The sequence below is a fragment of the Homo sapiens genome, chromosome 3, assembly GCF_000001405.40.
Source record: "Homo sapiens chromosome 3, GRCh38.p14 Primary Assembly".
NCBI classification, from domain to species: domain Eukaryota; kingdom Metazoa; phylum Chordata; class Mammalia; order Primates; family Hominidae; genus Homo; species Homo sapiens.
In genome coordinates this window covers 4,884,712-4,899,672 of record NC_000003.12, presented here as the reverse complement: position 1 = coordinate 4,899,672, position 14,961 = coordinate 4,884,712, and the positions used below count along the sequence as shown (strand labels likewise).

General features: G+C 42.0%; 2 long non-coding RNA genes across 5 annotated transcripts in view; both read left to right on the top strand.

Annotated features, from left to right (window-relative positions):
- Window positions 1–2,864, top strand: part of BHLHE40-AS1 (BHLHE40 antisense RNA 1) — an 83,153-nt gene extending 80,289 nt beyond the window's left edge. For 2 of the 4 annotated variants that reach the window (NR_125916.1, NR_125915.1), the window contains one exon: window positions 974–2,864. This is a non-coding gene — a long non-coding RNA (BHLHE40 antisense RNA 1). Of the gene's footprint in view, window positions 1–737 lie in introns of all 4 variants that reach the window. The other 2 variants (NR_037903.3, NR_125914.1) reach the window with 1 other exon arrangement.
- A 9,189-nt stretch (window positions 2,865–12,053) lies between these two features.
- LOC124906209 (uncharacterized) overlaps window positions 12,054–14,961 on the top strand; it is a 73,328-nt gene continuing 70,420 nt past the window's right edge. The window contains exons 1-2 of the long non-coding RNA XR_007095795.1: window positions 12,054–12,522; window positions 13,885–13,950. This is a non-coding gene — a long non-coding RNA (uncharacterized LOC124906209). The remainder of the gene's footprint in view (window positions 12,523–13,884; window positions 13,951–14,961) is intronic.

The window sequence follows — 14,961 nt, the reverse complement described above, 5'->3', positions numbered from 1 at the left end:
TGGAAACGGACAAGGTGGGGAGGGTTCTTTTTCAATCGTCTAGGCGGGAAAATGAGGTTATCAAAATTAAAATAGGAGACTACTTTGTGAAACAGAAATGATTGTGGATAAATGATGCAAAGCCGACAGATGATTAAAGGTACCCATAGTCTACCAGTTAAAATCTCTGTCAGGATTTTCTAAATTAACGTCAGGACATCTTCTTTGTTGTTGTTTAAGGATGGAAGAGAATATTAAAAATCAGACAGGACCACCTTAGGGTATGTGGTCTCACATATCTGTTCTATTTGCTTTTTCGAAGCTTAGAATATTCTGCTCAATTCTCTGGGTATTACTCAGTTATAAAGGTGCAGAGGGATGCATCTCCTTCTGCACTTTCTTTACTCTGTAGATTTTCCTAATCTGTCCTAGAGAGGGACTGTGGCAGGGTCTGCAGACAGAAGGGCTGCCTTGTAGCCAGCCATCTTTGTATGACCTCTGCCATTGGCCGTTGGTGGCCGAGAAAGACACTGAAGTCTCTCGAGAAAGCTGAAGACCCAACCCTGAGATGTACCCACACTGCACCTGGAGCAGACAATTGGGCTAGAAGACAAGTTCTGCTCTGCTCTGGAAAGTGTGAGTGGTAAAATATTTATTAGGATCCTGCTGAGAAGACTTGCCATTTTAACCTTCTCTCTCTCTCTCTCTCTCTCTCTCTCTGTCTCCTTTTCTTTCTTAAATAAATTTTTACCTTACAGTTGTCCAGAGAGGAAAGACAGGCCAAAATAGTTCAGTATGCTGTCTTACTGGGAGGACAACAGCTTAAGCCACAAAGCCCTGAGTTTGACCCTAGAACTCTGTGGCTACTGGTGACTCATCTTGAAAATTATCAGATTGAATCTTCTCTACCGGTTTGATAACAACTGATGAGTGGAAAAAGAACGCCAATCAAATGTGCATGCTTAATAAGCAGCCTCCTTATTCCCCTCTGCAGATTTGTGCTTGGATCATCTACACTTCCCTGAATGTTGAAGAAGATATGCTATCCATGCAATCCTTGTCGACTGCTTGATTAAAAAGTGGATAAACTGTCTTCAGGCCCTTGGAGTATGGTGTCTGTGTGAAGAAGGGAATGAGGCAGAAGTAGCAGTCAGTGGTGGCTGAAGTAGGAGAAAGTGCTTGCTAATGAAATCTTGATTTTTCTGTGGCTTTTCTGTGCAATTGGGTGGCTAAGTAGGAAAGCCATTGGAGCTTCACTGTATCAATTCTGCCTTTCTTGTTTTTTGGAACTCCAATTCACCAAGGCTCCCTGCCACCCTATCCATCTATAACTTTTCATCACTTTTTCCTCAAAGTAAGAAGTGTGTCCCAGAAAATGTGCCTTTGTGACTCAGCAACATTTCAAATCCATCTGAGCCTTCCCAGCGTTCCAAAAGAAATACTGATTTGAATTCAGCTGCTTAAAAAACCAGTCTCTAAGCAGACAGCTTGAAACTTCCTTACAGCAATAGTTTAGGCTTTGGAGGGGAAATTGGTTTGTTTTTAATTGTTTTAATTTTTCATTCAATTCATTTGCCGCCTGATTATATATGATCTTTTGAGCCCAATACTCTGCTAAATTAACCTTGACTTTCTTTCTCTCTTTCTCTCTCTCTCCTTCTCTCTTTCTTCCTTTCTTTCTTTCTTTTTGACAGAGCCTTGCTCTGTCGCCCAGGCTGGAATGCAGTGGCACAATCTCAGCTCACTGTAAACTCCGCCTCCAAAGTTCAAGCAATTCTCCTGCCTCAGCCTCCTGTGTAGCTGGGATTACACACGCCAGCCACCATGCCTGGCTAATTTTTGTATTTTTAGTAAAGATGGAGTTTCACCCTCTTGGCCAAGCTGGTCTCGAACTCCTGACCTCAACCTTGGCCTCTCAAAGTGCTGGGATTACAAGCATGAGCCACCATGCCTGGCCTTACCTTGATTTTTTTTTTTTGAGACAGAGTCTCACTCTGTTGCTCAGGCTGGAGTGTAGTGGCTCGATCTTGGCTCACTGCAACCTCCATCTCCCGGGTTCAAGAGATTCTCCTGCCTCAGCCTCCCAAGTAGCTGGGACTACAGGTGTGGGCCACCACGCCTAGCTAATTTTTTATATGTTTACTAGAGACAGGGTTTCACCATGTTGGGCAGGCTGGTCTTGAACTCCTGACCTCAGGTGATTCACCTGCCTCGGCCTCCCAAAATGCTGGGATTACAGGTGTGAGCCACCACACCCGGCCCCTACCTTTGATTTTTAAGTCAAGAGGGAACAAGTCGAAATTTCTATTCAGGTAAACTGTATACCTTTGGACACTGAATCACTTTTAGAACCCCAGTAAAAATCATGTATGAATGACCCACAATTTCACTCCAACAGGAAGGTGTGTATATGTGCACAAAAACATTAGATTGTTCACACCGGTGCTATTCATAATAGTCAAAAACTGGAAACAACTCAAACATCCATCAACTGTAGAATGGATAAATAAATCATGATATATTCATACCATGGAACATAACAGTGACAATAAATGAACCACTGCTACACACAACAGATATGAATTTCACAAACAGAATGCTGAGCAACAGAAGCCAAACACAGAAGGATACACATTTATAAATCCATTTGTATGAAGTTCATAAACAGACAAAATTAGTCAGTGGAGATTATTCTCATAGAAGTCTGAAGGGTAGTTGTCTTTAGGGAGGGGGATATAGTGACTGAGGTGGGTATAAGGGGTTTCTGGGGTTTGGTGATGGTACACCAGCATATTCACTCTGAAAACTCATTGAGCTGTGCAATAATGATTTTTCAAACTTTTATATGTGTATGATAATGCTTCAATAAAGCTTTGCTTAAAAACACGCATAGTCATTGCTATGGTGTGAATGTTTGTGTGCCCCCGTTCACCAAATTCATAGGTTGAAATCCTAACCCCCAAGGTGATGATATTAGGAGTTGAGGTATTTGGTGATGATTAGATCATGAAGGTGGGGCTCTCATGAATGAGATTCATGCCCTTATGAAAGAGGCCAAGGGAGCTGGTTCACCCCCTTCTGCCACGTGAGGACACAGTGAAAAGATGGCCATCTATGAACCAGTAAATGGGTTCTCACCAGAGACAGAATCTGCCAGCACCTTGGTCTTGGACAGGTCAGCCTCCAGCAGAGTAAGAAAATTAAATTCTATTTATAAGCCACACAGTTTATGGTATTTTACTACAGCAGCCCAAATGGACTAAGAGAGTCATTATTATCAGGTATAGTTTAGTGTTACCACTTTTCATCAGAATGAAACTGATCAAATATTGTGTGAATGCTTTTGAGGTGCAAATGATAGGAGACCCAACTCAAAATGATCGAAGGGATTGGAAAACTTTTCCTTTAAAGGAATAAATAGTAAAGATTGTAGTTTCTGCAGGCCATGTGGCCTCTTGTCTTAACTACTCTGTGTTGTTGCATGAAAACACCCATAAACAATGGGTAAACAACTGAACATGCCAGGGTTCCAATAAAACTTTACCTGCAAAAACAAGTGGTGAGCAGGATTTGTAGTTTGCTGACCTCTAGTTTAAACAATCACTGAATTTACCATCATACTAGTAACAAGAAGTTCCAGGCAACGTAAGCTTCAGGGTTAGTTGATTCAGCAGCTTCACATCTCAATCCAGGAACTCAATTCATTCCATCTGCTTGCTCAGCTTTGTGCGGGCTGTGTTCCCAGTCTTGGTCTCTCCCGGTCATGAGATGACCACAGCCCCCCACACATCATGTCTTCACATAAGAGTGTCTAAAGGCCACAAATGTCTCTTTCCTGTGTCCCCTTTCTAGGAGCATGGAAAGCTTTCTTTCTTTCTTTCTTTCTTTCTTTCTTTCTTTCTTTCTTTCTTTCTTTCTTTCTTTCTTTCTTTCTTTCTTTTTTTTGAGACAGTCTTGTTCTGTCACCCAGGCTTGAGTGCAGTGGCGTGATTTTGGCTCACTACAACCTCCACCTTCTGGGTTCAAGCGATTCTCTTGCCTCAGCCTCCAAGTAAGTAGCTGGGATTACAGGCACCCGCCACCATGCTCGGTTAATTTTGTATTTTTGGTAGAGACAGGGTTTCACCATGTTGGTCAGGCTGGTCTCAAACTCCTGTCCTCAGGTGATTGGCCCATCTGCAGCCTCCCAAAGTGCTGGGGTTACAGGCCTGAGGCACCGCGTCTGGCAGGGAAAGCTTTTTTAGATGCCTCCTAAAAGATTTGATTCACTTCCTAAGACTGAGAAAGCAGGTGAGGTGTGTGTGTGAGTGGTTGTTTTTAGGCAGGCAACCCACATCGTGATCTGCATTCATTTCCTATTGCTATGTAACAAATTGCCACATAGCTCGCAGCTTAAAACAACATACAAACTACCTCCCAGTTTCTGTGGCTCATCCAAGCAACGCTTGAGGTCCTCCATGCAGGGTCTCACAAGGCCACAATCAAGGTGTCACGAGGCTTTTCTTCTGGGGCGTGGAATCCTCTTTCAAGCCTATGTAGTTGTTGGCAGAATCCAGTTCCTTGCAGCTGTGGGATGGAGGTCCCTGTTTTCCTGCTGGCTGTCAGCTGGGGGTCACTCTTGGCTCCTAGAAGCCACTCACAGTTCCGTGCCCACCACATGCCCCTCGCCATGAGACACCTCACTTCTTTAAGCTCAGCTGGAGAATGGCTCTATCCAATTTGCTAAGAGGGTCTCATATAATGTAATCTAATCAAAAGAGTGAAATGGATTATATTCACAGGTCCTGACTGCAGTCGAGGGAGGGGGATTAAACAGCACACAGGAGCACCCCCAAGAGACCCAACTCAAAATGGTTTAAGCCAGAGGCTGCAAACTTCCTACAAAGGGACAGATAGTACAGATTGCAGGTCTTTCAGGTCATCCAGCTTCTCCTCTCAACTACTCTGTGTTGTAGCACAAAAGCAGCCATAGATAATACATAAAAGCAAATGGACATGTCTGTGTTCTTTTTTAAAATTATTTTTATTTTTTGAGACGGAGTCTTGCTCTGTTGCCCAGGTTGGAATGCAATGGCACAATCTCAGCTCACTGCAACCTCTGTCTTCTGGGTTCAAGCGATTCTCCTGCCTCAGCCTCCTGAGTAGCTGGGACTACAGGTGCGGGCAACTACACCTGGCTAATTTTTGTATTTTTACTGGAGACAGGGTTTTGCCGTGTTGGCCAGGTTGGTCTTGAACTACTGTCCTCAAGGAATCTGCCCACCTCAGCCTCCCAAAGTGTTGGGATTACAGGCGTGAGCCACTGTGCACAGCAACATGGCCGTGTCCTAATAAAACTCAAGTGAACTTGGAGGCCATCCCAGAATTCTGCCTAATGATAGCTCTCACCTGAAAAATTAAATCAGATAATATAACAGTAGAACACTACACACTTAGAAGAGGAAATATGCTGTATTTGGCATATTCTTTGCTTGGAGGATAGACATTTAAAACACAGCTCCTTAAAACACAAAGTTTTTTTTTGTTTTAACTTTTATTTTAGGGGTACATGTGATGGTTTGTTACATAGGTAAACTCATATCACTGGGGTTTGTTGTACAGATTATTTCATCACCCAGGAATTAAGCCCAGTACCCAATAGCCATCTTTTCTAATCCTGTCCCTCCTTCCACCCTCCACCATCGAGTAGACCCCGGAGTCTGTTGTGTTCTGAAGACCCCAGTCCTTCTTTGTGTTCATAGGTTCTCATCATTTAGCTCTCACTTATAAATGAGAACATGTGGTATTTGGTTTTTTGTTTCTGCATTAGTTTGCTGAGGATAATAGCCTCCACCTCCATCCATGTTCCCCCAAAAGACATGGTCTCGTTCTTTTTTATGGCTGTGCCGTATTCTATAGTGTGTATGTACCACATTTCTTTATCCAATCTGTCACTGATGGGCATTTAAGTTGACTTTGCTATTGTGAATGTAAAAATGTTTTTGTTAGTGTGAAGAGTGCTGCAATGAACATTCATGTGCATGTGTCTTTGTGGTAGAATGATTTCTATTCCCCTGAGTATATACCCAGTAATGGGATTGCTGGGTTGAATGGCAGTTCTGCTTTTAGCTTTTTGAGGAATCGCCATCCTGCTTTCCACAATGGTTGAACTAATTTACACTCCCATGAACAGTGTATAAGCATTCCCTTTCCTCTGCAACCTCACCAGACTGTTGTTTTTTTACTTTTTAATAATTGCCATTCTGACTGGGTGTGAGATGGTATCTCATTGTAGTTTTGATTTGCATTTCTCTAATGATCAGTGATATTGAGCTTTTTTCATGTGCTTTTTGGCCACATGGATGTCTTCTTTTGAAAAGTGTCTGTTAATGTTCTTTGCCCACTTTTTAATGGGGCTCATAAACACAAAGTTAACCTGAAAGTCCTGAAGAATCAATTTTTTAGTTTTGCTCTTGTTGCCCAGGCTGGAGTGCAATGGCGCAGCCTCGGCTCACTGCCTCCTGGGTTCAAAGGATTCTCCTGCCTCAGCCTCCTGAGTGGCTGGTATCACAGGCACGCACCACGATGCCTGGCTAATTTTTTATTTTTAGTAGAGATGGGGTTTCACCATGTTGGTCAGGCTGGTCTTGAACCCCTGACCTCAGGCGATACACCCTCCTCGGTCTCCCAAAGTGCTGGGATTACAGGCATGAGCCATTGCGCCCAGCCTGGATTCTGGCTTTTACTCTATGCTTCAAAGCATACTCCAAGATTATATTTAAAGATTATCTAATGGCTTATTCTAGTGCTCTCATGATTTTATTTCCCTTTTGCTCTTTCTAAAAATGTTAATTCATCTGGAATTTATCATGGTGAAACATGTAAGGCTTGGATACAACTTTCTCATTTTTTTCCCCAGAGGGCTACTCAGTTGCTCTGACATTGTTTATTGAACAGACTATCCTTTTCCATTGGTAAGTGGTGGCATTTTATCATATACTAAATTTCTTTTTGTATTTGAGTCAATTTCTGGACTTTGCATTTATAATTCATCGAGTTGCCTTGTCTATTCATATACCATACCCTTTTACTTTTAGAGCTTTATACTATATTTTAATATCTGATACAACTAAAAAACCCTTGTTTTTTTATTTTCAGGATTTCTGAATATTCTTGCTTCTTTATTTTTCCATATTATAATGAGCTTGTATAGTTTTTAAAAGTCCTTTTTTAAAATTGAGCTTTTGCATTATAGATTGGGAATAATTGACATCTTTACATAGTTAAGTCTTTTTATCTAAAAATACATACATCCTTCCATTAGTTCAAGTTTTCTTCTGTGATCCTCAGTGGCATTTTAAAGTCTTTTCATATAGCTCTTGTTCACTTCTTAAGCTTAGGAATTTAGTCTTTTTGTTCTACTATAAATAGGGCCCTTCTATTTTTAACCCCATGTTGTTTCAACGATTCTTAAAAGCCAAAAAAAGCATTTATTCTATCTTAATAAATGAACTTTCGTAAACATATAAGTAGCAATAGGACTTGTAAGTTAGTTCTGTCCTAAATAGTTCACTGGTTGGAAGAAAACAAACAAAAACCTTTCCCAAATTCATGCAAGTAAAATGATATTAAGAATACATTAAAATGTCTCTTCTTAAGACCTTTTTTTTTTTTTTTTTTTTTTTTTGGTAGAGACAGGGTCTGGTCATGTTGCCCAGGCTGCTCTCAAACACCTGTCCTCAAGCAATTTCCCCACCTCATCCTCCCAACGTGCTGGGGCTACAGGTGTGAGCCACTGCACCTGGCCTTACAATTGGTTTTTGACTGACTTTTGAATCTTAAAATGGGATCCATGTAATTTTCTCATTCTTACAAGTCACTCACTCTTCACATTTTGCCTATTTTGGGTACACATATTATTTCTCAGGGTGTTCTATTAACTGTTAACCTCTCCCTAGGGGAAGGCTGGTAGCTCAGCTGGTCTGATTCTGTCTCACCAATATCTTAGGACACAAATGTTTCTAGGAAGTAGAGCTCCTAGATCAAGCAGAAGAGGCAGCTGATGCCTCCCTTTCTTCCACACTTGCAGGTTCCCATCATCATAACCTGGCAAAGCAGTCATAGCCTGGGAAAGCAGTACTTACGGAGGAAATTAAAGCTCTACCCAGAACTGAGAACATTTCCAAGGTCAGCTACAAAGAAGAAAGGTGGAAGCCCTTTTAGAAGACTCCCAGATTTGTAACCTGGGAGGATGCAGGATACAGGAGTGAGTTGTTCTGGGAGGGGAGCCTGGAGCTGGGAGAATACTGGTCTGTGTAGCCCTACGATGGAACAGCCTCATGGAATGGGAGTTTTCCGTCAGTGAGTGGCCATGTTGGAGGCTTGCGTCTCATTCTTGGACTCAAGTTGCTTGGCTCTGACTTTGGAAGAACAATTGATAGGGCGGGGAGGGACTAGAGGCTATAATCTCCTTTTCCTAACACCCCAAAGCCCCCTTACAGGCAAAAATTCTACCTGTAACATTTTCTTGGCTTAATTGGTAGTATCTATATTTATTGAAGAGCAATCAAGAGGCCTTCTGCATAACAATACAGTACTATTAATAATAAAAAGTAGAAAGGCCAATATATTTGTAGAACCAAGCCCTGTACTCATCCTTTACATAGATTCCCTTATATTTTTAATTTTTTATTTTTATTTTTTTCTTGAGACAGTCTCAGGCCGCCCAGGCTGGAGTGCAGTGGTACGACCTTGGCTCACTGCAGCCTGCACCTCCCGGGTTCAAGTGATTCTCCTGCCTCAGCTTCCTGATTAGCTGGGATTACAGGCGCCCACCACCACACCCAGCTAATTTTTGTATTTTTAGTAGAGACGGAGTTTCTCCATATTGGCTAGGCTGGTCTCAAACTCCTGACCTCAAATGATCTGCCCGCCTTGGCCTCCCAAAGTGCTGGAATTACAGGCGTGGGCCACCACACCCGGCCAGATTCCTTTATTTTAATCCTCACAGCAGCCCTATAAATTTAGTAGTACAATCATTTCAAATTGATAGATGAGGAAACGCAGGTTTAGGGAAATTAAATAACCCATTCATGGTCACATGGCAAAAGGCAGAGTCCGGATTTGAAAACAAGCACCTGACTTTGATGGTCATGCTTTTTACCACCGCCCTTATGAACATTCATGGTAAACGTAGATATTTTGAAATAAGGGTGAGGAAAGAGCTTAAAGTTGTTTTTATATATTAAATACTCTGTCCTATCGTTTTACATATTAATATATTTGGTTTAAAATGTATGTTTTACTTATACTGACAGAGCTCATGTCTATGAGACATATTGTAAACTCCATTCACAGGCATTTAATGCTTTTGCATTTAAGTGAGTGATGTACTCATATAGACATTGAAGTATAAGCAACCAATCAACTAGAATGTTTATTCTTCAGTGCTCCGAAGATTATTCTACTTGTGACTATAATTCTGTACTCAGTTTATAACATTCTTGCAGAGATGTCAGGATGTGTGTGTGCGTGTGTGTGTTTATTATGAATAATATGATTTCCTTGTGGCTGTGAATTTCATCCTCTCTGTGATTCCTGTGCCCTAACCATATTGCTAGGCAACACCAAGCAACACACATCCCACATTTTCCTAATTCCTTTTGATGTTTCACAAATGGACCTTTGCTTTTATCTGCAAGCAGAATAACACCAGTGGGTTTAGGATTTTGGCTTTTTAAATAATCAGGTGTCCGGTGAGATCAAAGCTAAGTGACCATAATTGTCAGAAACTGGCAGAAAAAAGGAAGAGCTGGCATGAAGCAAATGCACATATTTGTTTTAAGACTTTGGCTGATGATTCGTTAGTGAAGTCTAATGTGATTTCTACCATTCTGACTTTGTAGATGACATCAAGGACAGTGAGTAGGTTGGCTTCCTTCCAAGGACTTAAAGTCCTCCTAGGGCTTGGAGGGTAATTGCATATGAAATACTCTTTCTGATACTGGCAATGTTGCACACATATCATTTTCCAGATGAAAATCAGGTGCCCATCTCCTCTGTCAAAACAGAAACCAATATTTTCAGGTCAAGATCCAGAATCTGGCAGATGTAATGCACAGACATCACATCACAAGCTAAAGAGCATTTACAGTTGTCCTGCCTTCTATGTGTAGGGAAAGGTCAGAGAGAGGCCTCAGTGGGCATGGAGAATGCCAGAACTGGGCCTACAGTGGACAAGGGCTCAGCACTTCATCACCACAAAAAAAGATCATTTGGTTTTTCCCCATCCACTCAAGCCAAGCCACAGAGAACCACAGGAAGTAAGACTGACGAGTTTCCCCACTGCTAACTGACAGTATTTGAGAAGTTGTGCTGCCCAAGTTAGAAAGCCCCATGATGGCACTCTAAACTAACACTCAACCTGTGAAAGCAAATATGTTATAATACCTTACTTGCAGGCTTGGGGAAGAGAATATTTTTCCAGACGGGAGATGAAACGGAAATGGGGCCACTGGTAAGAAATGCACTTGTGGGAAAATATGATTGTATGAGTTATCTACGGCTGTGTGACAATCTCCTGCACCCCACCTCCCCCCAAAAAACCCTGTTATCAGTTTAAAACAATATTAAGCATTTACTACTTCACTCAGTTTCAATGGGCCAGAAATGGAGGAGTGATGCAGCTTGGTGGTTCTGTCTCAGGATCTCTTATGAGATTGCAGTCCAGATGTCAGCCCTGGCTGCAGTCAACTGAAGGCTTGCCTGGGACTGGAGGAGCCACTTTCAACAGGGTTTACTCACGTAACTGGCAAGTCAGTGCTGGTGATTGGCAGGAGGACTCAGTTGCTCACCATGTGGCCCCCGAGCATCCTCGTAACATGGCAGCTGGCTTCCCCAGAGCAGACAAGCCAAGAGAGAACAAGGCAGAAGCCACAATATCTTTGACAGCCTAGTGTTGGAAGCCACGCTCCATCATTCCCACAATATCCTATGGGTTCTACAGGTGAGCCCTACTCAGTGTGGGAGGAAACTACATAAAGGCATGAATACCAGGAAGGGAGAGTCGCCAAGGGCTCTTTTGAAGGCCAGCTGCAATAATGATGGAGACATTTCTGTGCATACGATACTGAGAAGCAATTCGTGTATTGGTTGGGTGATGGATGGCACTCTTGTCATGGGTCCCAATGCAAGCTGCAAGCCAGTGCCTGCATTGGAATCATCTGGGAGCACTTTTTAAAGCACTGGTTTCCCTGGACCCTTCCCTGGACATTCTGATTAAGTCAAGGATGATGCCCAGGTTTGGGAACTACTGGATTAGATGATCTCTAAGATCAAGTCCAACCTTAACAGTGTTCCTCAAACTTACCTGATCATAGGTATTACCCAGGGAATTTATTAAAAATACAGATTTTTTTAGGCCCCACTTCCAGCTTCATGAATCAGAACATCCAGGGATGGGTCTGAAAATCTGTGTATTTATTTATTTATTTACTTAAGAGACAGAGTCTTGCCAGGCTGGAGTACAGTGGCACCATCATACCTCACTGCAGCCTTGAATTCCTGGGCCCAGGCGATCCTCCCATCCTGTCTTCCTAAATAACTGGGATTACAGGCATGTGTCACCACACCTGGCTAATTTTTAAAATTTTGTTGTTGTTGAGATGGAATCTTGCTATGTTGCTCAAGCTGGTCTTGAATTCTTGGGCTCAAGTGATCCTCCCACTTTGGCCTCCCAAAGCACTGGGATTACAGGCATGAACCACTGTGCCCAGCCTGTGATTTTGTTTAATTTTTAAATTTTTTGACCAGGTCATACATTTAAAATGATGGGAAATTCCAAAAGGTATAAAAGAGTGTCATTATAAAGTCTCTATCCCAACTTTGTTCTCTCAGTATCCCAATTCACCTACCTGGAGGTGCTCAATGTTGTTGGTTTCTTGTGTATTCTTCCAGCAATATATGAATATATAAGATATATAAAGTAAATATATTTATTTTAAATGAGAGAGAGAGTGTGTTTGTGTGTGTATTTTTCTTTTTTTTTTTTTTTTAACTCAAGGCAAATCTAAAGGGTATGCAGTGAAAAACAAGTGTATTCCTGGTTCTGATCACCAGTTTTTTCCTTCAGATTCACTTTTACCAGTTTCCCGTGTGTCTCTTTAAGAGACAGGATGCTGTTAGTTTGTCAAGTGACTCAGGTGATTCTTATAATCTGGTGCTTGGGACACCCCAGTTCTGTAATGTAAGTTATAATAGAAGCTGAAACAGCTGGAAAACCTCACTTGGTTACACGAGTTGCATGAAATGCATTAGATTGTATCTGGATGTCTTAGTTACATTTGTTCGTGTAATCATTATTTACCAAATAATGATTATTTACCAGGCCAAGTCATTATTTGCCAGGCCAAGTCAACGATGAGCAATGGACCCAGCTCACGGGAGCTTGCAGTCTAACACAGGAAACAGCCACCTGCATCTGTAAAGGTGCGTGCAGGGCGCCGCAGAAGCTCCTTGGCATCAGAAGTGAGTGGAGGCTTCTGGAAGGAAGGGATTTCCACAGAGGTAAAAATGATGAGGAGGTGGGGCTCATTGGGCAAATGGAGAGGACGATATTCCTGGCAGAGAGAAAAGGACAAATACGAAGTTCCCAGGTTTTGATCTGGTACGCTGCTCTCAGGCAACCAAAAAGTAGAGCGTTTTGGTGTTTGTGCGCAGAAGAGGCTCAAGATAAAACGAGAGAGGTAAACTGAGGTCAAAATAAGATGGGGAAAAAACACGATGACTCTGAATGTCAGATATTAAGTTTGGGAATGATACGATCAGCACGGGGGAAGAATCGATGTGGGTGTAAAAAAAATGGACTAGAAGGGGGCTGGGCATGGTGGCTCATGCCTGTAGTTCCAGAACTCTGGAAGGCCAAGGTGGGAGGATCACTTGAGCTCAGGAGTTCAAAACCAGCCTGGGCAACATGGCAAGACCTCGTCTCTACTAAAAATACAAAAATTAGCCAGGCATTGTGGCGCACGCATGTAGTTCCAGCTACTCAGGAGGCGGGAGGATCGCTGGAGCCCTGGAGGCTGAGGCTGAAGTGACCAGTGTTTGCTGCACTGCACTCCAGGCTAGGCGACAGAGTGGGACCGTGTCTCAAAAAAAAAAAAATAAAAAAGACCAGAAAGGAGTGGTAACAACTTGGAGGTGGGAAGATAATTTAGGAAGTTGTTATCAAAATCCAAGAAAGAGACCAGAATGGGCTGCATTAGGTGGCCATTGTAGGGATGCACAAAACTGGAAACACTGACGTTATTAAAGAGGTAGATTCACCTGGACTTGGTGATTGATTGAAAAGGGCTGTAACTGGGACATTTCCAAATTTCCAGCATGGGCAACCACCTGTGTTTCAATAGGGAATACCTGTGGGAAAGTGCTTGGGGAGGAGGCACGAGGGAGGGTGAAGGGTAAGTCTAACATTCTGAGTTTGAGGAAGAGAGAATACGTGGGTAAATTAAAGTTTAGAGTCCAACAGAAAAATAAGAGCCTGTTTGTGACGGTCCATGGCAGGACAGGCATCTTCTAATTTCTCTTTAAACCTTATTTAGTTTGCATCTCTGCCCCCATCCCCACACTCTCTCGCCCACCATAAAGCAGGCTGGCACTGACAGTCCCTTCAACCTTCTCCACGGGTTGGAGTGGAAGGGGTGAACGAAGGTCCTGCCCTCCAAGCAGCTGCATTCACAAAATTCCGAAGCTGGCCAATAGTGTATTCCGTTCTGTAAAAAGATATGTTTTTTTTTTTCTGAGGCAGGGTCTCACTATATTGCCCAGGTTGCTCGAAAATAGTATTCCCAGGATGGTTATAAACAGTTTCATGTTTCCCAGAATCAAAACCCAGACTCTAAATTCACTTCCTTGATTGATTTATTCTAGGTACTGATGAGACCTCTTTAGTATGACACTGGCAACTGACGGCACTGCGGATATGTTTGGAATAAGGTAAGCCTGCAGCCACAGTTTTTATGCCTTTTGGAGTTTTGGCCAGAATGAACAGAGCTTAAGCAAATTAGATATTTGAAAATACCTTTGTTTTGTTCTGTGAGCAACCACCAGAGGCCTTTTAAATTGTGATGGTGACTAACAAAATAAGATCTTTGCTATTGTGCAGAGAAATCTGAAGAATTTTATCCATTCTTTCATTCTTGCTAAATGGTGCATTGTATGCTATCTGTGTGGTTTGGGTCTAGGACAGATTTCTCTCTGAACTTCACAGCATGGGTGGGAGAGAGTAATTTGGCCTTTCGTTTTCTCTGGCAGCCGGTGCCAGTCCATTTATATGGTATGTTCACAGGAGAGCTGACAAGTGTTGAGAGGTTTTATTTGATATGCGTTTTTTTTTTTTAAAGTAGAAAAAATTCCGTAAAAATAGGTGCTTGTTAGCTAGTTTTCCTAGTTAGTCTTCAGATCATAACCAAATGTTTCATTAAGGAGCTCCACCTCAAACAGACGAGCTACACTGAATTATCTGGGCTGTGTTTAATATTCACAGTGTAACCATTCATGGCAAGGGCAGTTTTTAATGATAGAAATGCAAACCCAACATTATTTTTCTGTGTAACTTGTAAAAGCCGTGCCTTCTAAAATGGAGCTGCTTATGCTAATTTGTTATAGTTAGTGAATTGCAGGCAGCTCTGTGAATTTACTTTTCTTGGCAGTTCTAGAATATCCTGCCATAACACATACTGAAAAACTGTTTGACGGGTTATGAAAATCTGGATGTACTAAAGGTACATCTTGTGCAAACCATAAAATAAATACATGATTACATTTTTAAAAATCTGTTATCAGGTTAAGGAAGTTGTCATTATAACAACCCAAGGAAAATTAAACAGTTTTGAATGGATGATACACTTTTTCCACTTGTACATACTGTAAATGCTTTTAGTATCCAACCCTCACACTATTTTGCTGGGCTTTATGAAAAGACTGCCTACTGGAGGTAAACTCTAT